This window comes from Homo sapiens, chromosome 2, assembly GCF_000001405.40.
Source record: "Homo sapiens chromosome 2, GRCh38.p14 Primary Assembly".
In the NCBI taxonomy this organism is placed as follows: Eukaryota; Metazoa; Chordata; class Mammalia; order Primates; family Hominidae; genus Homo; species Homo sapiens.
The window spans coordinates 166,287,496-166,314,252 of record NC_000002.12 but is presented as its reverse complement, the minus strand read 5'-3'; the positions used below and the strand labels follow the sequence as shown (position 1 = coordinate 166,314,252).

General features: G+C 35.1%; 1 protein-coding gene and 1 long non-coding RNA gene across 9 annotated transcripts in view; one reads left to right on the top strand and one right to left on the bottom strand.

Annotated features, from left to right (window-relative positions):
• SCN9A (sodium voltage-gated channel alpha subunit 9) overlaps positions 1-26,757 on the top strand; it is a 180,803-nt gene that overhangs the window by 61,735 nt on the left and 92,311 nt on the right. For 5 of the 8 annotated variants that reach the window (XR_001738886.2, XM_011511619.3, XM_011511616.4 and 2 more), the window contains exons 2-10: positions 2,447-2,754; positions 7,179-7,297; positions 7,654-7,743; positions 8,333-8,461; positions 9,924-10,015; positions 10,951-11,163; positions 19,591-19,654; positions 20,881-21,022; positions 25,610-25,816. Coding sequence is in view for 7 of the 8 variants with exons in the window: in XM_011511619.3 (XP_011509921.1) it covers positions 2,497-2,754; positions 7,179-7,297; positions 7,654-7,743; positions 8,333-8,461; positions 9,924-10,015; positions 10,951-11,163; positions 19,591-19,654; positions 20,881-21,022; positions 25,610-25,816 (1,314 nt within the window). In the remaining variant the exon portion in view is untranslated. Of the gene's footprint in view, positions 1-2,446; positions 2,755-7,178; positions 7,298-7,653; positions 7,744-8,332; positions 8,462-9,923; positions 10,016-10,130; positions 10,223-10,950; positions 11,164-19,590; positions 19,655-20,880; positions 21,023-25,609; positions 25,817-26,757 lie in introns of those variants that run through there. The other 3 variants (XM_011511618.3, XM_011511617.3, XM_017004669.2) reach the window with 2 other exon arrangements.
• Positions 12,469-26,757, bottom strand: part of SCN1A-AS1 (SCN1A and SCN9A antisense RNA 1) — a 220,254-nt gene continuing 205,965 nt past the window's right edge. The window contains exons 9-12 of the long non-coding RNA NR_110260.1: positions 19,526-19,688; positions 18,124-18,230; positions 15,412-15,563; positions 12,469-13,322 (exon numbers count right to left, since the gene is read on the bottom strand). This is a non-coding gene — a long non-coding RNA (SCN1A and SCN9A antisense RNA 1). The remainder of the gene's footprint in view (positions 13,323-15,411; positions 15,564-18,123; positions 18,231-19,525; positions 19,689-26,757) is intronic.

Sequence of the window (26,757 nt, the reverse complement as noted above, 5' to 3'; positions counted from 1 at the left end):
GAAGGTTTGTGGCAACCCTGCATTAAGCAAGTCTGTCAGCGTAATTTTTTCAACAGCATGTGCTCACTTCATGCATCTGTGTCACACTTTGGCAATTCTCACAATATTTCAACTTTGTAATTGCCATTATTTAATTATTACTGTATGTGTTATGGTGATCTATGATCAGTGATCTTTGTTGTTACTGTGGTAATTGTTTTGGGGTGCTATGAACCACATCCACATAAGACAGCAAACAATCATTAAATGTGACGTGTTCTGTTTCAGCATCCCTATCTCTCTCCCTTTCCTCAGGCTTCCCTGTTCCCTGACACACAACGATGTTAAAATTAGGCCAATTAGTAACCCATTCCCACCCCTAATGTTCAAGTAAAGGAAGAATTGCGCATTTCTCACTTTAAATCAGAAGCTAGAAATGATTAAGCTTAGTGAGGAAGGCATGTTGAAAGCCAAGATAGGCCAAAATCTAGGCCTCTTGCACTAAGTACTTAGCCAAGTTGTGAATGCAAAGGAAACATTCTTGAAGGAAATCAAATGTGCTACTCCAGTGAACACATGAATGATAAGAAAACAAAACAGCCTTATTGCAAATATAGAGAAAGTTTTAGTGATCTAGATAGAAGATCAACCAGCCACAACATTTCCTTAAGCCAAAGCCTAATCCACAGCAAGGCCATAACTCCAATTGTATGAAGGCTGAGAGGTGAAGAAGCTGGAAAAAAAAGGTTTGAAGCTGGCAGACGGTACCCCATGAGATTGAAGGAAAGAAGTCACTGCCATAACATAAAAATGCAAGGTGAAACAGCAAGTGCCAATGGAGAAGATGCAGCAAGTTATTCAGAAGATCTAGCTAAGATCATTGATAAGAGTGGTTACATTAAACAACAGATTTGCAATGAAGGTCTAACAGCCTTCTACTAGAAGAATATATTATAGCTAGAAAGGAGAAGTCAATGTCTGGCTTCAAAGCTTCAACGAACAGGCTGACTCTCTTGTTAGGGGATAATGCAGCTGGTGACTTTAAATTGAAGCAAATGCTAATTTATCGTTCAGAAAATCTTAGAATTATATTATTTAATTATTCAGAATATTAATAATTATTTACTATTCAGAAAATTACATAATAATTATATTATTTACTATTCAGAAAATTACATAATAATTATATTATTTACTATTCAGAAAATTAAATAATTATATTCTTTACTATTCAGAAAATTAAATAATAACTATATTATTTAATTATTCAGAAAATTAAATAATAATTATATTATTTAATCATTCAGAAAATCTCTTAAGAATTATACTAAATCTACTCTGCCTGTGCTCTATAAATAGAACAACAAAGCCTGGATGACAGCACGTCTGTTTACAGCATGGTTCACTAAATATTTTAGGCCCAGTGTTGATACTTATAGCTCAGGAAAAAAAAAAAAGATTTCTTTCAAAATATCACTGCCTATTGACAATGTGCCTGGTCACTCAAGAGCTCTAACGGAGAGGTACAAGGGCATTAATGTTATTTTCATGCCTGCTAACGCTATCCATTCTGTAGCCTATGGGCCAAAGAGTAATTTCAACTTTTAAGTCTTATTTTTTAATAAATACATTTTATAAGACTATAGCTGCCATAGATAGTGATTCCTCTGATGGGTCTGGGAAAAGTAAATTGAAAATCTTCTGGAAAGGATTCACCATTCTAGATGTTATTAGAACATTAATGATTTGTGGGAGGAGGGCAATATACAAACATTAATAGGAAATTGGAATGAGTTGATTCCAACTCTCATGGATGACTATGAGAGGTTTAAGACTTCAGTGATGGAAAGAACTGCAGATGTGGTGGAAATAGCAAGAGAATTAGAATTAAGAGATGGAGCCTAAAATTGTGACTGAATTGCTGCCATCTCGCGGTAACTTGAATGGATGAGGAGTTGCTTCTGATTGATAAGCAAAGAAAGTGGTTTCGTGAGATGGAATCTTCTCCTGGTCAAGATGTTATGAACATTGTTGAAGTGACAGCAGAGGATTTAGAATATTACATAAGTTTAGTTGGTAAAACAGCATCAGGCTGGAGAGTGGTGCTACCAAAGGCATTATCATAAAGACTTTTAAAAGAGGAAAGTTGAGTTGAATTGCACCAAAGGTAAATATAGACGAAAAGAAGGGGAATTTAGGAAAATTTACTCAGAAAATTGTCATTTTTTACTTTAAAGCTATGAAGCGTAAACTTCAAATTTCTGAGTATAAAGATGGTTAGAAGGCACGAAAGATAAGTCCCGCCCATTGCCTGACACATAGTAATCCCTTAACAAGCTGATAATTCTAGAACATGTTACCTTTTGTAGTTGAAACTAAAAATCTGTTTATGTTGTTATTATTAGTTTTTAATGGGCCTTTCTTGGCAGGCAAATAGTTAAGTCTTTATTTCTTTGTTTCCATCCAGGCCTCTTATGTGAGGAGCTGAAGAGGAATTAAAATATACAGGATGAAAAGATGGCAATGTTGCCTCCCCCAGGACCTCAGAGCTTTGTCCATTTCACAAAACAGTCTCTTGCCCTCATTGAACAACGCATTGCTGAAAGAAAATCAAAGGAACCCAAAGAAGAAAAGAAAGATGATGATGAAGAAGCCCCAAAGCCAAGCAGTGACTTGGAAGCTGGCAAACAGCTGCCCTTCATCTATGGGGACATTCCTCCCGGCATGGTGTCAGAGCCCCTGGAGGACTTGGACCCCTACTATGCAGACAAAAAGGTGAGTTTATTTTGACTTCAGTGGTCAGTTTCTGTTGGCTTCCTTCTGTATAAAAATTATTTTAAATTGAGATTAGTGAAATTTAGTGAATAACCATATCATGACCAGAATGTTAAATTAAATATATATATATATATATATATATATATATATATATATATATATATAGGATATTCAGAATCTGTACTTTTTCAAATTTTTCATTGAAATTGGCTCTGGCATTGGCATACTACTTTTAATTTTTTTTTTTAATTATACTTTAAGTTTTAGGGTACATGTGCACATTGTGCAGGTTAGTTACATATGTATACATGTGCCATGCTGGTGCGCTGCACCCACTAACTGGTCATCTAGCATTAGGTATATCTCCCAATGCTATCCCTCCCCCCTCCCCCCACCCCACCACAGTCCCTAGAGTGTGATATTCCCCTTCCTGTGTCCATGTGATTTCATTGTTCAATTCCCACCTATGAGTGAGAATATGCGGTGTTTGGTTTTTTATTCTTGTGATAGTTTACTGAGAATGATGATTTCCAATTGCATCCATGTCCCTACAAAGGACGTGAACTCATCATTTTTTATGGCTGCATAGTATTCCATGGTGTATATGAGCCACATTTTCTTAATCCAGTCTATCATTGTTGGACATTTGGGTTGGTTCCAAGTGTTTGCTATTGTGAATAATGCCACAATAAACATATGTGTGCATGTGTCTTTATAGCAGCATGATTTATAGTCCTTTGGGTATATACCCAGTAATGGGATGGCTGGGTCAAATGGTATTTCTAGTTCTAGATCCCTGAGGAATCGCCACACTGACTTCCACAATGGTTGAACTAGTTTACCACCAACAGTGTAAAAGTGTTCCTATTTCTCCACATCCTCTCCAGCACCTGTTGTTTCCTGACTTTTTAATGATTGCCATTCTAACTGGTGTGAGATGGTATCTCATTGTGGTTTTGATTTGCATTTCTCTGATGGCCAGTGATGATGAGCATTTTTTCATGTGTTTTTTGGCTGCATAAATGTCTTCTTTTGAGAAGTGTCTGTTCATGTCCTTTGCCCACTTTTTGATGGGGTTGTTTGTTTTTTTCTTGTAAATTTGTTTGAGTTCATTGTAGATTCTGGATATTAGCCTTTTGTCAGATGAGTAGGTTGCGAAAATTGTCTCCCATTTTGTAGGTTGCATGTTCACTCTGATGGTAGTTTATTTTGCTGTGCAGAAGCTCTTTAGTTTAATTAGATCCCATTTGTCAATTTTGTCTTTTGTTGCCATTGCTTTTGGTGTTTTAGACATGAAGTCCTTGCCCATGCCTATGTCCTGAATGGTAATGCCTGGGTTTTCTTCTAGGGTTTTTATGGTTTTAGGTCTAATGTTTAAGTCTTTAATCCATCTTGAATTGATTTTTGTATAAGGTGTAAGGAAGGGATCCAGTTTCAGCTTTCTACATATGGCTAGCCAGTTTTCCCAGCACCATTTGTTAAATAGGGAATCCTTTCCCCATTGCTTGTTTTTCTCAGGTTTGTCAAAGATCAGATAGTTGTAGATATGTGGCGTTATTTCTGAGGGCTCTGTTCTGTTCCATTGATCTATATCTCTGTTTTGGTACCAGTACCATGCTGTTTGGGTTACTGTAGCCTTGTAGTGTAGTTTGAAGTCAGGTAGCGTGATGCCTCCAGCTTTGTTCTTTTGGCTTAGGATTGACTTGGCGATGCGGGCTCTTTTTTGGTTCCATATGAACTTTAAAGTAGTTTTTTCCAGTTCTGTGAAGAAAGTCATTGGTAGCTTGATGGGGATGGCATTGAATCTGTAAATTACCTTGGGCAGTATGGCCATTTTCACGATATTGATTCTTCCTACACATGAGCATGGAATGTTCTTCCATTTGTTTGTATCCTCTTTTATTTCCTTGAGCAGTGGTTTGTAGTTCTCCTCGAAGAGGTCCTTCACATCCCTTGTAAGTTGGATTCCTAGGTATTTTATTCTCTTTGAAGCAATTGTGAAATTTAGTATAATGTTTAGTATAACATAGTATACATTGTTTAGTATAATTGTTTAGCATAACATTTTTGGACATGACACAGTGATCTGCCAAATTTTATAATCATACCTATTTTTTCCTGCTAATAATTAACTCTCATGTGTATGCAGACCCAAAAATCACTTAAAAGTTTTTAATGAGAATGAAAATTGCTAATTTCAATTTTAAAATACCAACAATTCTTTTTATTAAAATTTCAAGTATAAGGTAACTTGATCTTGCCAATACTATGTAGTATGTTGTGATTTTTCATGTTAGCTCAGATGACCTCCGGTTTATAAAGTCTCCCTGATAATTTTGACAGTCATGTGACCCTGTTCCCTCTTCACTCTCATTCTTCCCCCTTTATATTTTTCTGTATGATATCTGTCACATCTTGCCTTATATTAGTTACTTTCTTCTTTTCATTTTTCTAGGAAGTTCCTTGAATACAAAACTCATGCCTTATTTTTGTTCAAACTCCTTTTCATTACCTGTTATGATATAGTTTCTGACTATACATGTATTAGTCTTTTTTTTTTTTTTTTTTTTGAGACAGAGTCTCCCTCTGTTGCCCAGGCTGGAGTGCCGTGGCGCGATTTTGGCTCACTGCAAGCTCCGCCTCCCGGGTTCACGCCATTCTCCCACCTCAGCCTCCAGGGTAGCTGGGACTACAGGTACCCGCCACCACACCTGGCTAATTTTGTTTTTGTATTTTTAGTAGAGACGGGGATTCACCGTGTTAGCCAGGATGGTCTCGATCTCCTGACGTTGTGTTCTGCCCACCTTGGCCTCCCAAAGTGCTGGGAACACAGGCGTGAGCCACCACGCCCGGCCGTATTAGTCCATTTTTACACTGCTATAAAGAACTACCTGAGACTGGGTAATTTATAAAGAAAAGAGATTTAATTTACTCACTGTTCTGAATGGCAGGGGAGGCCTCAGAAAACTTACAATCATGGTCGAAGGCAAAGGGGAAGCAAGGCACATCTTAACATGGTGCAGGAGAGGGAGAAAGAGGAGGGAAATGCCGCACTTTTAAACCCATCAGATCTCATGAGAACTCACTCACTCACTATCATGAGAACAGCACTGGGGAAACCGCTCCCATGATCCAATCACTTACCACCAGGTCCCTCCCCTGAGACGTGGGGATTACAATTCAAAATGAGATTTGGGCGGGGACACAGAGCCAAACCATGTCAATACAATTGCAGAAAGAATGGATGAATAATTTTTTAAAAATACAGTCTACTGAGATTTAAGACAAAAAGGATTGTACTTGAGGACTAGGTATTAATTTTAAAATAATTTTCCATGTAAAAGTGAATTTTACATTAAATTGTATTTAGATAGAACTGATACAGTGAAAGGGAGCAGGAAAATAAAAGGACACCTGAAAACAATAGACTCTGATTTGTTTTCTTGAGGGAACGCTGCCGCATACAAATAAAAAGCCTGACTCACAGACTTACCTCCTGAATACGGTGAGAAATGCTTATTGCCAGAAACCCACTGATAACCCTATATAAAATTTAGAAAGTCAGTGTCTTTCAGCTAACACAAGTCATCTTCCTGCCAACCGGAGAAAAATAAGGCTGGGATTTGAACTTTGTCTTTCTGATTTCTAAGCCAATGCTTTAGGTTGCTTTAATATTTTGTTGTTACTGCTGGTTGTTTTTATTTCTTAACTGAATACTAAAGCTATGGAAAAGGACACTTATGGAATGGCTACAATAACATTTCAAGAATGTTTGCTTCTATTCATATCGTTTTTTAAATTACCGTGGTTAGTAAGTGAGGAATCCTCTTAATTTAAGTCCCTTTTAAAAGCTAATATTAGTATTATAACTAAAATAAAGAAATTGAACTCAGTGATTGGAAGGATTCTTCCAACTCTGACGTTCCTTCAACTTAGGAAAATATTTTTTGAAATAACTCATATTTTGGAACATGTGCTGCTAACCATAACAATTGCCAGCAAGTATTAAAATTCTCAAGGTTTTATGATAAAAATATTAGAGATAGCTAGTTTCTATTTGGCTTTCTTAAAATGCAGTGTAATGGAAGGGAAAGAAGTTGTACTTTAAAATAACTTAACCACAGTTATTGTTACTGGTGAAAGAAAATGAAAAATATGAAATACAGTATTTTGAAAGCTCTAAGCAATACATGCTAACAAATAGCTCAATTTTTAAAGTTACTATGAAGAAGTGGACTTGGAGTTCATTGGCCAAGGTGACATTGATAGATGCGTTGATGACATTGGAACCACATTGCTGGAGTCTGATGGCAGTGTTTCTTCAATATAACACTGCCATGTAGAAAGGTAAACTGCTGATATTGATGTGAAAAATTGATATTTTGGATTCTCAATTTCATCCTTTCTTTTTCCTCCTGCAGACTTTCATAGTATTGAACAAAGGGAAAACAATCTTCCGTTTCAATGCCACACCTGCTTTATATATGCTTTCTCCTTTCAGTCCTCTAAGAAGAATATCTATTAAGATTTTAGTACACTCATATCCTTTTAAAAATGATTACATCCAGTGGCACTTTATGGTGTAATTTTTGCTATTTTATTCAAATATAGATGTTATACCTTTTGCACCTTGAAAGACTCTGGTTTTAGTTTATTAATTTCAGTATTATTAATATAATTTGTCATGGGTCTCAGAGAAGACTGGGAGAGTGGCAATATTAAGATTTTAGGATATGTTACTTTTATTTATTACTCTCTTGTTCAAAGAGACAAAATAGTCTACAAGCTCATTTAGAATTTTTTTCTTAGGAAAAGTTGTAAGCATTTCAACAAGTGTCATCCTCAAATATTTCAAATTCCCACTGTCGTCTCTTTTGTTCCTTGATTCTAAGCTACCTTATTCAGCATGCTCATCATGTGCACTATTCTGACAAACTGCATATTTATGACCATGAATAACCCACCGGACTGGACCAAAAATGTCGAGTAAGTGGGTATAAGTACATTTTAATATAGTTTTGGTATTATCATTTCATCCTTTCCTTTTCCTGCCAGGAAGTTACTGCATTTATGAAGATGGGGAATCTTTACCTTCCCATGTTATATGCTTGCTTTTCTTTTGTTCTTTACCTCCTCTATGATATTAACCTGCTAGATTAGAAAAATTAGATGCTACAGTGTTTTCTCAAAGAATGAACTTGTCAGATGCTCCATCCTGTTCTTAGACATGTTACACATATTTTATTCTTGGGTGTATGTTTTATAATTATATGGGTGTATTTTTAAATGATTGGGTGAATTTTTGATAGAAGCAATGTAGGAAATTTTTAGGCAGATCTGAGACCTATATTCTTAGTTATTTCAAGTACCTCTGCTTTCTGGGAGTGTTTCTGATATTGACATTTTAATATTTTCTGGATAGACCTATTGTAGTTTAATAGGGTGTGTCCATAACCCAACAGCCATCCTCCAATATATGTCTTCCAGTGGTTAATTAGAGAAAATAAGTTATAAAGATTTACATGGTGGTTGTATTCTTTTCACATCTAGTATCCCAATGGAATCTTGTGTTTAGGTACACTTTTACTGGAATATATACTTTTGAATCACTTGTAAAAATCCTTGCAAGAGGCTTCTGTGTAGGAGAATTCACTTTTCTTCGTGACCCGTGGAACTGGCTGGATTTTGTCGTCATTGTTTTTGCGTAAGTACTTTCAGCTTTTTGAAACGGCAAATTTATGAAAATCTCAGGCAGCACAGTGTTCCAATAACAGCAAACCTCTGGGGTCTGATTTTTCCAGCATGGAATGTCTGTATTTAAAGGAAAATGGAAGCTATATGAAAGCTAGTCATTGATAGGCAAATACTAAATTTTTCAAAAAGACTATCTCCCACTCAGAGGTATGTGACATCATTGAGATTGATCATCTTCCTCCATGCTCAGCACTTGGATGGATAGTCTATGCAGTGCCAATTAGGTTTACACTTTTTCCAAGTTCTTGTTTAAAAATGAATAAAACCTATAAGAAGCACACAAAAAACTCAGGCCTTTAAATACAAGTACAGTGCTCTTTATATTACCCTGTATTATTCAATTATTTTATATTTTTGTATTAAAATATAAAAGTATATATTTGTAAAAGAGCTGTCACTGCTTACTAAGCCTAAGATTAATGCATTGTATACACATTATATATACACTCAGTTTATTTTCAAGGAAAATATTACATTACAGTATAATTTTAATTTATTCATAATTGTTACTCTTTTCCCAAATGTATTTATCAGAAAAATGGATTTTTACAATCTCATATCTAGATATTCTATTTTCCGTTAATGACTTTGAATTATCAAAGTAATCCAGGTTCACTGGAGCCACCTAGACAATACAGAAGGGTCTTAAGATTCCTAATATCCGATTCCTTCATCCCTGCCTAACCTCTTTTCCATCAGGCTCCCTCCTTTTGAGGTCACATATGATGGGGCAGTTCCATCTGCTACCTGCTGCTAAGAAAACATTGTGCAAAGAAGACTGCCTCTTCTCATAGGTCTCCTTTTTTTCCTATTGGTACAATTCAAATACTACAAAATTCACAATTTTAAAGTATACAATTCAGTGTTTTTCAGTATATTGACAAACTTGCGCAACATCACCACTACCTAATTAGAGAAGTTTAACAACCCCAAATAGAAACTCTGTACTCATTAGCAGTCACTTCAATTTCCTTCTCTCCCTGGCCCCTTGGAAACCACTCATCTATGTTTTATCTCTATGGATTTGTCTATTTGGATTTTTTTATGAATGGAAATATCAAACAGTATGCAGCCTTTTGTGTCTGACACTTAGCATACTATTTTCAATGTTTTATAAAAAATTAAAAGTCTAAATTACCATAATGTTAAGGGTCCAACAATTGAAACATTTAGTTGTTTACGCATTTAAGTGTATGAATCCAATTTAATAATATATAATATCTGTATTTTGTTTGCATCAAATGAGTCAAATCAATGCTAATTAAATTAAGTTAGTTATGATAGCAAAAAAGACTTGCAGAACTATACATTTAAAATAGAAGCCCCAAACGTAGAAAATACCTTGACTAAAGGCTCAGGTAAGTATCATAGACTCTATCTAAATTCTGAATAATTCTGATTTAATTCTACAGGTATTTAACAGAATTTGTAAACCTAGGCAATGTTTCAGCTCTTCGAACTTTCAGAGTATTGAGAGCTTTGAAAACTATTTCTGTAATCCCAGGTAAGAAGTAATTGGTGTGAAGCATTAGGCCACTCATAACTCCAACTATTTGGGAGTTGTTCTTTGTTCGTTTGTGTGTGTGTCGTCACTGTGTGTATAAACTCCCCTATTACAGATATGTGACAGAGTTTGTGGACCTGGGCAATGTCTCAGCATTGAGAACATTCAGAGTTCTCCGAGCATTGAAAACAATTTCAGTCATTCCAGGTGAGAGTGGGGTTAAACACCAGGGCTGACTTTGATCTTTTGAAAGAAAGACATAAAAAAAACCTTTCTTTATGCAATTTTAATTAAATTTGATTTCTTCTGTTTTCCACAATCATTATCAAAAGTCAACCTTTGAGTTTAATCAATTGCATGGGTCTTTAGGATGAGGATGACTACTTGGCTCACATCTCAACTTGAAATCTTCCCTCCTGTCTGAGGGTTTGTTTTTCCATTTGCTTATACAGGAAGGAAAATTTCAATCCATTTTAATTGATTTTAAAATACTTAGGAAAGAGATCATAAATATCAGCATGGGGATATTGCATGACATTGTTTTTTATTTTTTCTCAGCAAACCATTTCTTTATTGAAAATTATTACAAGGTGTCACTATATGCTGTAATTTGTTTTGGTGCCATTTATAGAGAAGTGGTTTGTTTGACAAACATTAGAACTTACAAAAATTATTTTTAAAGTGGTTTGAATAGCCAAATTGTTCATTTTGACAACCTAGGTATTCTTTGAGAATATGTTCCTATTTTTAACCATTTGCTGTAATATATAAAAACAAAGTATATATAAAATAGCAAACCCAGAAGGCTTTTTTTGAATTAGGTTACTTAAGGTCATTGATTTGATATAATGCATGACTTTCTAGGAAAGCTTGTGTTTTTTGTTTCGATTCAGAGGCTTTATGTCATTACAAACACTTTTTTCTCCCATTTTCAGGCCTGAAGACAATTGTAGGGGCTTTGATCCAGTCAGTGAAGAAGCTTTCTGATGTCATGATCCTGACTGTGTTCTGTCTGAGTGTGTTTGCACTAATTGGACTACAGCTGTTCATGGGAAACCTGAAGCATAAATGTTTTCGAAATTCACTTGAAAATAATGAAACATTAGAAAGCATAATGAATACCCTAGAGAGTGAAGAAGACTTTAGAAGTAAGAATGTCCTTGCATTTGTTATTAGGTTGAAATAATGCTAAAAACATTGCTCTCTTTTAATAATGAAATGTTGCTTTCATTTTAATCATTTCAAAGCTATTCAAATATATAGAAAGCTGCTACAGTGTGAATTTGGGTCATGTTATATATGATTTTCATAAATCATCCTGGTTCTAAGCTATCTAGCAGTACTGGCAAAAGGAACACAGGATAGTTCCATAATTCCTAATTTCTATATCATAAAAAAGAATTATTTTCTCTAGAGAAATAAATGTAGCCTTGAATTAATAACATTAACCATTACATTTAACAATATAATAGATTATATATTTTATATAATTTTATTATATAGTACATACTTATATTTATTATATATAATGTGACATATTTATTATGATAGATTTTTATACTTAATAGATTGTACTCATAACTATAACATCTTAAAGTTCTATTAATCATATATAATGATAATATTAATTATCAAATATAAAGATAGTATCTGTATCTTGATAGTATTCCTAAAGATTTGTACAAAGCAAAATCATTTGCTCAGCTTTATCAACATCCACTTTGTAACCAATGACGAGTTTCATAGCTGTTTTTAATGGCTTCCTTCAATATAGGCTGATGGCAAGATATCAAAGTTTAGTTCAGTAGAATTATTTCTGTAGGTACCACATGAGATCATCTGTATGCACTCTCAGAAGTCTGCTTAATTCAGAAGTATCAATTAGAGTTTCTTACATAAAGCATGAATTGAATGTTCTCTAAACAATTATCCCCTAGCATGGTGTCTCTCACTGGAACGGTTGATGAATATTGGATGAAGATATGATCAAGATTGTACTTTCTGTCTGACACCTGGAATGTATCTATCTGATGGTGCCCACGTGAATACATAAATCTTAATAGATAATTTGACCCAGGTGTGGTATGGAAGTCACGAAACCTTTCAAATATATGTGCTGTTGCCAAAAGGAAATGAGGGAGGAAAGGTCAGGATTCTCCTTAGATAATAAAAAGTAATATACATCATTTTCTTATTTTACCAAATGTGTCCTTTCTCACTCACTGTGATAAATAAAATCAAATAACACCTAGCCCACATGGTAAAAGACTATAAATAAAATGACAGAAAAAAATAGAAGCCTTAACAAGAAAACTGAAAGTTTTGAAGTAAAATGTTTAGCATATATATTTTTACTACCACCATTTGATGAGGAATTTAGCATATTTTCCCCTTCTTTTTATATTTACCCTCTTTTCCAGTTTCTGATTGTTACAAACATGATTTGAAACTTATTTCCAATGGATGGAGAATTTTATTTCTTAATTTATATGCTGTAAAATTAATATATCTGATGAGTAACTTACATTTAATATTGTAGATTATTTTACCACACTTATTTAAACTTAAGTTTTCTCACTGGGATCTGTCCTTTTATTCTGAGTCTTGCTCCTATTTCTGAGTTTATACTGTGAATGGTTTTCTTAACCTTTGTTAAAAGAAAAATTTTCAACAAATTAAATTTAGCAGCTTATTTCAGCAATGAAATAGTATTTATTGCTGAAATAAGATAATAATAATAATGATTTAGGCAGCACTCAGAACCAAGAGAAGTTCGGAGAGCTCAACTCAGCAACATGAGCAGGAGTATTTATAGACAGAAAAAGGGAGTGACGCACAAAAACAGCTTGATTGCTTATAGCTTGACATTTGCCTTATGTGGACATTGTCTGATAAATCAGCAGGCTGTGGTTGGCTGAAGCTCAGCTGCTGTGATTGGCTGAGACAGCTACTTGTTACAAGAATATACTAATAGATTAGAATGCAATTTGTTTACATATGAAGTTAGATTGCAATTCTCTATGTACACAGACAGCCTTTAATCAAATTTAATTTAATTCATCGCTTTCTGGAATTGCTTCATGTATTTTTTTTTTTTTTTGCTAAAAAATAATACAAAAAAAGAAGAAAAAAAAAGAAACCCCGTCTCTACTAAAAATACAAAAAATTAGCCGGGCATGGTGGTGGGCGCCTGTAATTCCAGCTACTCAGGAGGCTGAGGCAGGAGAATCGCTTGAACTCGGGAGGCAGAGGTTGCGGTGAGCCGAGATCGTGCCATTGCACTCCAGCCTGGGCAACAAGAGCGAAACTGTCTCAAAAATAAATAAATTAATAAATTAATAATAATAATAGAGCCCTTGAGTTATGTGAATTATCTTTATATTATATTTAAACATGAATGCATGACAATTAGCTAATAATGAATCTTATACCACAATCCTGTCTTCCAAATCTGTACATTATTCTTTATTTTCTTCTGAAATGTAGTTTTAGTGAAGAGGTGTTTAAATCAAGTCTGAATTTTGCTTCTGTTTCCTATGTCATAGAAGCCATTTTTGACTGCATAATTGATTCAAACTTTCATTTATTGGTGCGTTTATTACATGGTTTCCCTGAGCTATAGCAATAAATGATAGCCTCAGCCCTTGCTTTCACAGAGCTTATCATCTAGTGGGAATGAAAAAAAATGTTTAAGGGGGAACAGACAAATAAATTAAAAATATCTCAAGTTATAATAAATGCCATGCAAAGGAAGTGAGTCTCAGGTGCTGAGATATCAACTAGATGAGAAGACATCTCTGAGGTGATGGCATTTAAGCTGAGATCTAAAAGATAGTAAGAAGCCATAAAATAGTTTAAGTGTGGGTGTGAGTCTATGTGTGGGGGGTGCTGCTTCAATTAGGAGAAATAGCATGGGCAAAGGTCCTGAATAAAGGGAGGGTATGGGTTTAAAGAATGGAAAAACAGCAGCGTGGTTTGGTAAGAGAAAGGAAGAATGGCAACAGAGAAAGTAGCAGAAAAAATAGGGGTCATATCATGCAGGACATTTCAGCCCATGGGAAGGAGTTTGTATTTTATTTTAAATGCAGTCATTTTTATTGCTGTCTGTCTTGTGCACAACTGATTGAGCAAGGGTAGATGGTAGATGGGAATAAGAAAGGTAAGTTGAAGGTTGCTTCTCTCATCTAGGCAAGAGAAAATAAAGGTTTCATCTAGAGTGATGGCAGAGAAATGAAGAGAAAAAAGATGAGCTCAACATACAAAGTCTGTAGAGCTTGCTGATGGATTAAAGAAGACAGGAAGCATTGAGGATGACTTCTCAGTTTCTGGCTGCAATAACTGGATGGGTGGTGATGGTTAATGAGGAAATGGTGGACACATTTGTAGAGGAAGGTCACTATTAGCTAGCTAAAATTAAAATGAGATGCCTTTGAGATGTCCAGGTGGATATATAATATAGAGAATTGGAGATTTAAGTATAGAAATCAGAGGGCCTGCTGAGTTTGGAGATAAATTCCAGAGCAATCAGCAAAAAGAAAGGACACACACACCTCTACCTCTGAACATCCCTGATATTTTTAAGTAGATAGAGAATGGGAAACCTGGTATTTAAAGCAATCTGGTACCAAGATCTACAACTCTGACATTTAGAATTCAGGTAGAAAAGAGGACCCAGAAAAGAACACAGAGAAAGAGCCGCCAATAAAGTAAGAAGCAAAGATATAAATAATGAAGCCAAGAGAAGAAAACATATTGTAGAAACAGATGTGCTTGTGTAGAATCATGCTGCAAGATCAAGGAGTAAGGATGATGAAGAAAGAAATATGCATTAGGTTAAGTAACAGGGAAGTCATCAGAGAATTTCTTGAGAAAATTTGGGTAAGTGGTAGGGTTCAAGGTAAGAATAAGGTGCATACAGGGGTGAAAAGAAGAGGTCAGAAAGAAGGTAATATGTGTAGACAATTCTCCCAAGAAATTTGGCTATAAAGGGAAGCAGAATAATGGGGCAAATGGCTGGCATTTAAAAAAATATATGGGTTTTTGTATGGATGTTTTGCTAGTGATAATGAATGAGTAGTTATATATGAATCAATTCAGGAGAGAGAGGGAGAAGTCAAGTCCTCGTGAAAGTGAAAGAGTAAAGGGGAGCGACAGCTCCACCGAAACAGGAGGAAAGATAGAAGAGAAGACTGCAGAGTTATCAAAAGATGATTGAGTTCAAACCCAATGGTTTTTATTTCCTCAAAGTATAAGATGGGATCATTGCCTGAGAGTGCAAATGAGGAAGAGAAAATTCTACAGATGATTTGATGAGAATGCATTATATATATGGTCATATCAGGGCATGAGAAATTTAGTGTATTTTGAGTGCAAATTTGATGTTGGAGATTACTTACTTAAAATATAACCATTCACTTGGTTGTGAGAGTTTCTCCACCAACATTCAGCCATTTGGTAGCCAGCATGGAAAAGACAGATGCCAGATTATGTGTAGACTGTGGTTCTGCCAGGTTAGGCACTGATGATAATGAATGCCCATGGATTTAAGCTGTACAAAGAGTGACAAGAACTTGGTTGATAGATCATGAGAAAGTGCTAAGGCAAATGAATTGGCAATATTTAAAAGATCAAGGAATTATAATGGTAAAGGCAATCTACACAGAGAACCTGAGCATAATCTAAAAGCATTTTCTGGTGCCTATAGCAAAGTATTTTCCGAAATGCCTTTCCAAATTCACAATCAAATAAATTAACCCACTGTCTCACCTCCTGCTGAAAAACATACAATTTGTAGATTTCCTTTGGTGTTGCTGTCTACTTTGATGCTCATCAAACACTTTTTTATGCTGCTACAGATGAAAGTGGGGTTCATGTGCACAGTGTGTAGCTAAATGTGCAGTATTATGGAGAAATATACTGTGGTTATATTGGGCTAAAACAGGATATTCTCTTCCTCCTGTTTTTCTAATATTTGACATTTAATAGAGAAAGTTTTGAAAAAACCGCAATATTGGCCTTCACTACTAACAGGAATTTTCCTATCTCCTTCATCTACAGCTGTTTTCTTGTGAGAACTACATTTGCCAGAGTGTAGAGTATCATGTGCAGGCCCTCTGCCCAGTCCTGATCCCCTGCACTAGTTTTCTCAGAGTTGCATTATTTGCCCTTCGTTGGGGATATACTCTTCACTTCCATAGGCCCAAGCCATACACAATTGTCATAAGTTGTCTTTCTGAGCAAGGGCAGAATTACCATTTTTTTTTCTATTTTGCTACATTAATCTTGAAAATTAATTTAAAAACTTCACCCAGAATCTTCATTAGATTTAATATCAATTCTGTATTTTTGTTATATCAATTTTCATTTTCCCCATACGTATTTTAGTGATAAGTTGGCATTTATTTACCCCCACCCACAACCTTTGCCGTTATGCTGCATTCCCTTTTAAAAATAGGTTTATTGAGGAATAATTTATATGCCACAAAATTCCTTTTTTTAAACTGTATAACTCATTTTTTAAACTATACTCAGAGTTGTGCAACGATCGCCACTATCTAATTTAAAATATTTTCATCTTTCCCACCAAGAAACCCAGGGCCCGTTAGTAGTCATTCCCCATTTCCCTTTTCTCCCAGCCCCTGGCAACCACTAATCTACTTTCTGTCCCTAGGGATTTACCCACTCTGTAGATTTAATATACATGGAAGCATATAATATATGGCTTTTTGTATCTGGCTTCTTACACCTAGCATAATGTTTTCAAAATTTATCCATGGTATAGTATGTATCTATGCTTCATTTCTTTTTATTGCTAAATGATATTTCATTGTATGTATATGCTATATTTTGTTTATACATTCATCAGTTGATGGACATTTGGGTTATTTCCGTCTTTTGGTTATAATGCATAATGTTGCTGTAAACATTCATGTACAAGTTTTTGTGGAAATACATTTTCAATTTTCAGTTCTCAGTATATACCTAGTAGTGGGATTACTGAGTCATGGTTCTTTTTTTTTTTTTTTTTTTTTTTTTTTTTTTGAGATGGAGTCTCACTCTGTCGCCTAGGCTGGAATGCAGTGTCGCTATCTCGGCTCACTGTAAGCTCCGCCTCCCGGGTTCACACCATTCTCCTGCCTCAGCCTGCCAAGTAGCTGGGACTACAGGTGCCCGCCACCACGCCCAGCTATTTTTTTGTATTTTTAGTAGAGACGGGGTTTCATTGTGTTAGCCAGGATGGTCTCGATCTCCTGACCTCGTGATCTGCCCGCCTCGACCTCCCAAAGTGCTGGCATTACAGGCGTGAGCCACTGCGCCCGGCCGTGATTCATTCTTTATCTTTCAGAATCATCCCACTTTTGAATATGCACAAGCAATATTTCATTTTTCTTTGCATTCAATTTTTTCCCATTTTTAAAGATGTTAACCTTAAATCTTCTTGAAGCCAACCATCTTAATAATTTAATGTCTAGTTGTTTAGAAATTATTGTAAAGTTTTCTACAAACCTAGAGTGAGCTACCTGCATTGCTTTACCTTTCATCATTCTTATACTGTGTTAAATACAGTAGTATAGCAGTGTGCTAATAGACAGCTCCAGAGCCCATTCATATAATTCAGCTCCTCAGTGGTTGATAAATGTGAACCAGCATTAGTTTAAAGGATAATTCTAAAGTAATCCATCCTTATTAAAATATTTTGGATGTTTATGTATGCAAAATTGCATCTTATCCTCTCCCATACTCACTCTACCAGGCCCATCCTTCCCGAGGTTCAGGAGTGTTTTCAGGAAAGCTTTTCATGCACATTTTCACCTACATTTGCACCTCAAACTGCAAGGCTTTATTGTTTTATCTGTGTCTTCTAAGTAAGATAAAATGATGATGTGTAATTCAATCAATAGTTTTATCTCAAATTGTATAATAGTTTAACTAATTATAATAACTCCTGTTTTTGAGCAGCTAGTACAGAATGTGTGGATCACAGTATCAAGTGGTTTACATGCAATATCCTATTTATACTATTTAACAACTTTATAAAGTAGGTATTCTTATACGTATTTTACAGATGCAGCAGCTAAGGCTTAATGGCTTAAAGATAATTCACTTACTTAAGAAGGGATAGAAGCAACATTCAAATCCAAGAATATCTGATTTCATAGTCTTTCTTCCATGATTACTCCAAAAGTCTCCCAATAATCAGATTTTTTAATTTGACCTGAGTAAAATAGGAAGTCAGGTTCTTATAGTAGAATAGATATTTAAGAGAGATGACAAAAGGTTTTTTAGTCATTTAAACATTTACTATACAAGGATAGATCTGCCCCCAGTCTTAGGAACAAGCCTTAACAGCAAATGACAGAAGAGTTGATGAGAACTTTTACTACTAAAAATTAGCACAAAGAATACCATGAAAGGTGAAACATGGAAAATCTGCATTGATTACATTGTCATCTCCTCAACACCTAGAATTAGTAGGTCCTAAGTAAGTATGGACTGGTGAATGAAAAGTAAGATAATTTTAGAAAACAAATTTTACTCACTTATGTTACTGCCTTACTGAGTCTGCCTCTTCCGGAGTATTGTACCACATAAGGATGTTTTAGTCAATAGCGGACCATATATATAATGGTGATCTCATAAGATTATAATACTGTATTTTTTTACTGTACCTTTTCTGTCTTTAGATACACACTTTCCATTGTATAACAGTTGCCTACAATATTGAGTACAGTAGCCCACTCTACAGGTTTGCAGCCCAGGAGCAATAGGCTATACCACATAGCCTAGGTGTATGGTAGCCTATACCATCTAGGTTTGTATAAGTGCACCCTAGGATGTTTGCACAAGGACGAAACGTCCTAATGATGCATTTCTCAGAATGTATCACAGTCATTAAGTGACACATGACCGTACCTTTAATCATACTTAAAATCCAAACTCATTTCTATGATATGCAAATTCCGACATGATCCGGCCCCTGCCTACCTCTGCCATCACAATCCTCCCTCTCACCACACTGTAGCCACACTGGCCATCTTGCTGGCTTTTCCACACACCAACTTCATCTCTGCCTTAGGGCTTTAGTTCTTTCTCTTCCCCCAGCCCAAATATCTCTTCACCAGTATTTTCATGGCTGTCTTCTTTGTCACACTTAGGTCTTAGTTTAAATATCATCTCCTTAGAAAGACCGTCCCTGACTGCAGCCTACCACGTTGCCTTAATTTATTTTCTTTAGATCATTTATCACTATCTGAAAATATCTTGTATATTTATTTATTTACTTAAATTTTTATCCAACCACAACCTCCACCCTCACCTAAACATAAAGGAGGTCTCATAAAACTAATGATTTTATTTATCGTGTTTATTGTCATGTTTATTGCCTAGCCTCTAAGAGATTATCAATAAATATTTGAGGGAGAATATATGAGAAAATAGTAAATAAATGGATGCATATTGCCTGGGACCAGGCCTGAATTTGTAGATAAATGTCTATATCAATTAATTTACCTCCTTTATCACAATCACAGATTAAAGTCTGTGATGTTATAACTGTTCAAATTCTTCTTCAACAGAATATTTTTATTACTTGGAAGGATCCAAAGATGCTCTCCTTTGTGGTTTCAGCACAGATTCAGGGTATGTAATATTTGTTTTCTTTTTAGTCTAAAGGCTGAAAGAGAAGGAAAAGAATGTTCAGTCAGTTTGCAAATTAGTCTTTGATTCTATATTGCTTTTTATATATTTCATGGTATTATTTGACTCATTCTGTCCCACAGCAAATCCAGTCTTTAAAATGTTCACAGTTAATGCATACTCTTGAAAGCAAGACTTTGAGACAGTGCTCGAATTAACACAAGACAGAAGTCATATAAATCTTAAGAAGGTAGAAAATGTTACTTCTAGAAAACTCCACCAAAAGTTGGTTGGATAATTTCAGGTCTTCTTTCTGGAAAACGAAGAGTCACAAAGTCTATTTTTCTTTCTACTCCCAAGTTCCACTCATTCTCCAATTAAATGTGACTCATAGGTGACTGAATGTCATGTTTTGGCCACTCTAAGCAAAGGGATTCCTTGGACTTGGGTACACATATTTTAAGAATATTGTATATATAAGAATATTGTATATATTCAACTGTCCATCTTGCTGCTTCTCTCTTACACCAACTTCATTTTGTAGCATCAGCTGCATAAGCTCTTGCTTTTCCCCCTATGCAGACATCTATTCATCAGGCTCTGTGTACACTGGCAACATAGGAATAAACTGGATAAGGTTGCTGTTCCCAGAAGAATCTCAGAATATTGTATTTATTTAATGGCATCAGGAAAAACCAGTCCACCAATTTTAGAAAGAAAAAAGTCTTAAAGCTGCACATTTTTATGAACTTAGACAATTACTATATTTTGACTATTATTGACTCTAATCTATTCCAAGAATTATACAGACAGAAAGAGCTTTGGTAACAGCCTACATATCAATATTTACTGAACCAAGAACTATCACAAAACGTCTGTTGAAAATTTCCATGTTTTAATGATGATGATGCTAATGGCAGCTATGATTTATTAAACACTTTCTATGTGCAGGATGTAAGCTAAGTAATTTGTACACATTATCTTATTTAAACTTATTACAAGTCTTATTTTCTTGAGGTAGATGTTATTATCCTATTTTCACAGACAGACTTATGCCTTGAAGAATTTGGTAAAGTCACTAAGTAGTCAGTAGCCAAATCATGTATTCTTAATCCTTATTCAATATTGTCCCCCTATAGAAGAAACCTTGAGTTTGTAACTTTTCAGTAAGGCTATTTAGCTTGTGTCCTGAAGACACTCTCACCTATAATGTTCTTTCTCGTGTGTAGTCAGTGTCCAGAGGGGTACACCTGTGTGAAAATTGGCAGAAACCCTGATTATGGCTACACGAGCTTTGACACTTTCAGCTGGGCCTTCTTAGCCTTGTTTAGGCTAATGACCCAAGATTACTGGGAAAACCTTTACCAACAGGTGAGTACCAAGAGAAACATGCATTGTATTTTTGAATGGCATATGTACCTGGTGTATGTTAAGAGCCTGTATTAGGAGGTTTTTTATTTATTTGAGAATGGAGGAAACTCTATTATCTTATTACCAAAATTATAAGTGTTTTACTCCCATCACTAATAATATGGGTAGTTCTCGAATCATAAATAATTTTCTTATCTTTTCTGGGCATATTTAATCTCTAGATCTCTCGCCTTCCTGAGTATATCATCCCATGGGGTCCTAGTTAAGTACCAGGACATACTGTAATGTTTTCTCAAGCTGCTCCTGCACATGGACTGTTTTCCATGCGTGCTTGGGATGGCCTGAAGAGAAGAGGCTCTCTGATGTTCACCTGCTCACCATGTTTTATTTTTGAACTCCTATTTAAAGTTAAAGATGCAATTCATTTCTCTAAGTTTTTCTCTCCCAAATCAATTGCTCCCAACTGTAGACTTCCATGATTTTTTGTATTTTCTTCCATTTATATCATTGATCTCTTGTATTGCAAGTGGTAATTCATGTGGCTATTTCCTCTAACTTGAATGTGAACCTCTTGGGGCTGTGGTCTCCATTTACTTGTATAGTCTCAGCAGCCAAGCCAAAAGGAAGGAGACCAAAATGATTATTCTATAGTACACATAACAATGATTCACTTTTCTCAGAATAGCTGCAGATCTGTTTTTTTTTCTTTTTTGGCCTATTTTATATTTACTTTATTTCCGAGAATATTATAAATGAATTCGGAAATTATGTAAGATGCACTTTACAGCAAAAATGGGAATGCAAATATTTTTTAAATATGCAAGAAGTGGTCACCTTTACTCAAAATTAAAGAAACACAAATAAAAAAATTAAAATAATTTTTCATCAGAGGTAAGACTTATTTTTCATTTAATATCAGTTGATACTATCCTAAATTCACTTTAAAATGCTTTGTATGATAAAAGTATATTACATTATACAATTATTAATAGAAATGTTAATTATCTTATAAATTTGTTTAAGTTACTTGTAGATTCTTAATATTAGACCTTTGTCAGATGGGTAGATTGCCAAATTTTTCTCCCATTCTATAGTTTGCCTGTTCACTCTGATGTTAGTTTCTTTTGCTGTGCAGAAGCTCTTTAGTTTAGTTATATCCCATTTGTCAATTTTGGCTTTGGTTGCAATTGCTTTTGGTATTTTTGTCATGAAGTCTTTGCCCATGCCTATTTCCTGAATGGTGTTGCCTAGGTTTTCTTCTAGGGTTTTCATGGTTTGGGGTTTTACATTAAGTCTTTAATCCATCTTGAGTTAATTTTTGTATAAGGTGTAAGGAAGGAGCCCAGTTTCAGTTTTCTGCATATGGCTAGCCAGCTTCCCCAGCACCATTTATTATATAGGGAATCCTTTCCACATTGCTTGTTTTTGTCAGGTTTGTCGAAGATCAGATGCTTGTAGAAGTGTGGTGTTATTTCTGAGGTCTCTATTCTATTCCATTGGCCTATATGTCTGTTTGGGTACCACTACCATGCTGTTTTGGTTACTGTAACCTCATAGTATAGTTTGAAGTCAGGTAGGCTGATGCCTCCAGCTTTGTTCTTTTTGCTTAGAATTGTCTTTGCTATATGTGCTCTTTCCTGGTTTCATATGAAATTTAAAGTAGTTTTCTAATTCTGTGAAGATGTCAATGGTAATTTGATGGGACTAGCATTGAATCTATAAATTACTTTCGGCAGTATGGCCATTTACATGACATTGATTCTTCCTATCCATGAGTATGGAATGTTTTTCCATTTGTTTGTGTCCTCTCTTGTTTCCTTGAGTAGTGGCTTGTAGTTCTTGAAGAGGTCTTTCATATCCTTTGTAAGCTGTATTCCTAGGTATTTTATTCTCTTTATAGCAATTGCAAATGGGAGTTTATTCATGATTTGGCTCTCTGCTTGTCTATTGTTGGTGTATAGGAATGCCTGTGATTTTTGCACATTGATTTTGTATCCTGATACCTTGCTGAAGTTGCTTATCAGTTTAAAGAGTTTTGGGGCTGAGATGATCGGGTTTTCTAAATATAGAATCATGTCATTTGCAGAGACAATTTGACTTCCGGTCTTCCTATTTGAATACCCTTTATTTCTTTCTCTTGTCTGATTGCCCTGGCCAGAAATTCCAACACTATATTGAATAGCAGTGGTGAGAGAGGGCATCCTTGTCTTGTGCCAGTTTTTAAAGGGAATGCTTCCAGCTTTTTCCCATTCAGTATGATATTGGCTATGGAGTTTTCATAAATAGCTCTTATTATTTTGAGATATGTTCCATCAATACCTAGTTTATTGATAGTTTTTAACATGAATGGATGTTGCATTTTATTGAAGACCTTCTCTGCATCTATTGAGATAATCATGTGGTTTTTGTCATTGGTTCTGTTTATGTGATGGATTACATTTATTGATTTGCATATATTGAACCAGCCTTGCATCCCATCAAAAAGTGGGCAAAGGATATGAACAGAGACTTCTCAAAAGAAGACATTTATGCGGCCAAAAAACATGAAAAAAAGCTCAACATCAGTGATCATTAAGAAACGCAAATCAAAACCACAATGAGATACCATCTCAAGTCAGTCAGAATGGTGATTATTAAAAAGTTGAGAAACAATAGATTCTGGTGAGGCTATGAAGAAATAGTAGCACTTTTACACTGTTGGTGGGAGTGTAAATTAGTTCAACAATTTTGAAGACAGTGAGGCAATTCCTTAAGGACCTAGAACCAGAAATACCATTTGACCTAGCAATCCCATTACTGGGTATATACCGAAACGAATATAAATCATTCTACTACAAAGACACATGCACACATATGTTTATTGCAGTACTATTTACAATAGCAAAGAGATGGAATCAACTCAAATGCCCATCAATGTTAAATTGTATAAAGAAAATGTGGTACATATACACCATGGAATACTATGCAGCCATTAAAAAAGAATGAGATCATGTCCTTTACAGGGACATGGATGAAGCTGGAAGCCATCATCCTCAGCAAACTAATACAGGAAGAGAAAACCAAACACTGCATGTTCTCACTCATAAGTGGGAGTTGAACAATTTGAACACATGGACACAGGGAGGGGAACAACACACACCGGGGCCTGTTGGGGGGTGGGAGGCAAGGGGAGGGAGAACGTTAGGACAACTACCTAATGCATGCAGGTCTTAAAACCTAGATAATGGGTTGATAGGTGGAGCAAACCACCATAGCACATGTATACCTGTGTAACCAACCTGCATGTTCTTCACATGTATCCCATAACTTAAACATATGAAAAAAAGCTCATCATCACTGGCCATTAGAGAAATGCAATTCAAAACCACAATGAGATACCATCTCATGCCAGTTAGAATGGTGATAATTAAAAAGTCAGAAAATAACAGATGCTGGAGAAAATGTGGAGAAATAGGAATGCTTTTAAACTGTTGGTAGGAGTGTAAATTAGTTCAACCAGTGTGGAAGACAGTGACCCAGCAATCCCATTACTGGGTATATACCCAAAAGATTACATATCATTCTATGGTAAAGACACATGCACACATATGTTTATTGTGGCACTATTCACAATAGCAAAGACTGGGAACCAACCCAAATGCCCATCAATGATAGACTGGATAAAGAAAATGTGGCACATATACACCATGGAATACTATGCAGCCATAAAAAAGAATAAGTTCATGTCCTTTGCAGGGACATGGATGAAGCTAGAAACCATCATTCTCAGCAAACTAAAACAGGAACAGAAAACCAAACAACGCATGTTCTCACTCATGAGTGAGAGGTGGGCAATGAGAACACATGGGCAATGAGAAGATCATCACACACTGGGGCCTGTCGGTGGTGGGGGGCAAAGGGAGGAATAGCATTAGGAGACATACCTAATGTAGGTAACAGGTTGATGGGTGCAGCAAACCACCATGGCACGTGTCTACCCATGTAACAAACCTGCACGTTATGCCAAAAAAAAGAAAAAAAGAAAAAAAAATCTCTGTACCTTCAGTTTAATTTTCCTCTAATCCTAAAACTATTTTGAAAAAAAATTCTATTTTAAAAAGCAAAGAAAGCGAAAAAAAAAGTTAATTGAAAATACCTATGAGATGAATAAAGTAATTAAATAAGACCATCTGCCTAGTGTTAACATTCAATGATATTATTAATATTTGATGATAAAGAAAGAAAAGATAGAATTTTAACAGTAAAAGGGACTATGGATATCACCTGTTCCTAAAATTTGAAAGTGAGCAAAGGATTTAATTTTATGAGTAATTTTCAGACTGTAGGAAAAAATGCATGATTTTTATACTACTACACTTAATAATCAAGAATCTTACATGACTTTAGTACAAGCATATTACATTGCTATATTCTTCGTACTGAAAATGTGTTTAATATTTGTTTTCCATGAAGATATAACTTTTCTCTTTATATTTTTGATAACATGAGATTATACCAAACTGTCAGATTTGCTCATGCCTGTCAAATTGAAATAATTTACTAAAAAAACTTTTTATTGTTCAAATGACAATTTCCATTTTTCCCTAGACGCTGCGTGCTGCTGGCAAAACCTACATGATCTTCTTTGTCGTAGTGATTTTCCTGGGCTCCTTTTATCTAATAAACTTGATCCTGGCTGTGGTTGCCATGGCATATGAAGAACAGAACCAGGCAAACATTGAAGAAGCTAAACAGAAAGAATTAGAATTTCAACAGATGTTAGACCGTCTTAAAAAAGAGCAAGAAGAAGCTGAGGTACTGTTATTTGATTTAAAATTCTTCCTAGAGGTAGAAATGCAAACGGTTACAACAGAGGCTCTGCGGTATATGCTTGGCCTTCTCCAGCTAGATTTTCTTTAATGAATTTTTGTGTATAAACTGTATCCTCATTTCTGGTGTGGAAAAAGGAACCAATTCTGGGCTGAGCTAGAATTGATACTTTCCCCATAATCATCTCACTGCATGAAAAGTGATCTAAGGCTGTTCCTCTTAAACCTTTTACCTACAATGACTTAGTGTGTGTGTGTGTATGTCTATATATACATACACATATACATATAAATGTGTGTGTATATATATATATATATATATATATATAAACACATGGAACTATGTGTTTTTTTAAATTATTATATCATGAGGAAAAATCTTTTAGAATAATTGATTAAATAATATAGTCAGATATATAATATATATATAATCTCAATTTATATATATATACAATATATATATGTATATATATACACACATACACACAATGGATTTCCCCAGAGTACCAATTGTATACAGTGGTTTCATGAAAATTATTTTAACGTTAAAATTAACAGATACTCTTCTATGGGGTATGACTAAAACAGTGCATCATGTTTTGTTAATGTCACAAGGATTTTTAAGATAAAACATGAGATATTAAGAAAATAATTTTGGTGTGGCTAATTTAGGTTGTCATAGATTCTCGAAAGTTTCCTCCTTAATCCTCTTTCCAGAGAGATTCTTCAGTGTAAATGTTTGAGAAGGCTTGTACTAAGAGAAACATAATTTCAAATGTACTGCAGTTGCCTTAACATTTGTCTGAAGGTTTCACCTAGTTAAATCTCTTCAAGGAGTCTAATGTATTAGGGGAGGGCAATCATCTGCAATGCAGATAAATTCTGATGCACAAATATTCAGTGCAGCATTTTAATAATGGTAAAAAT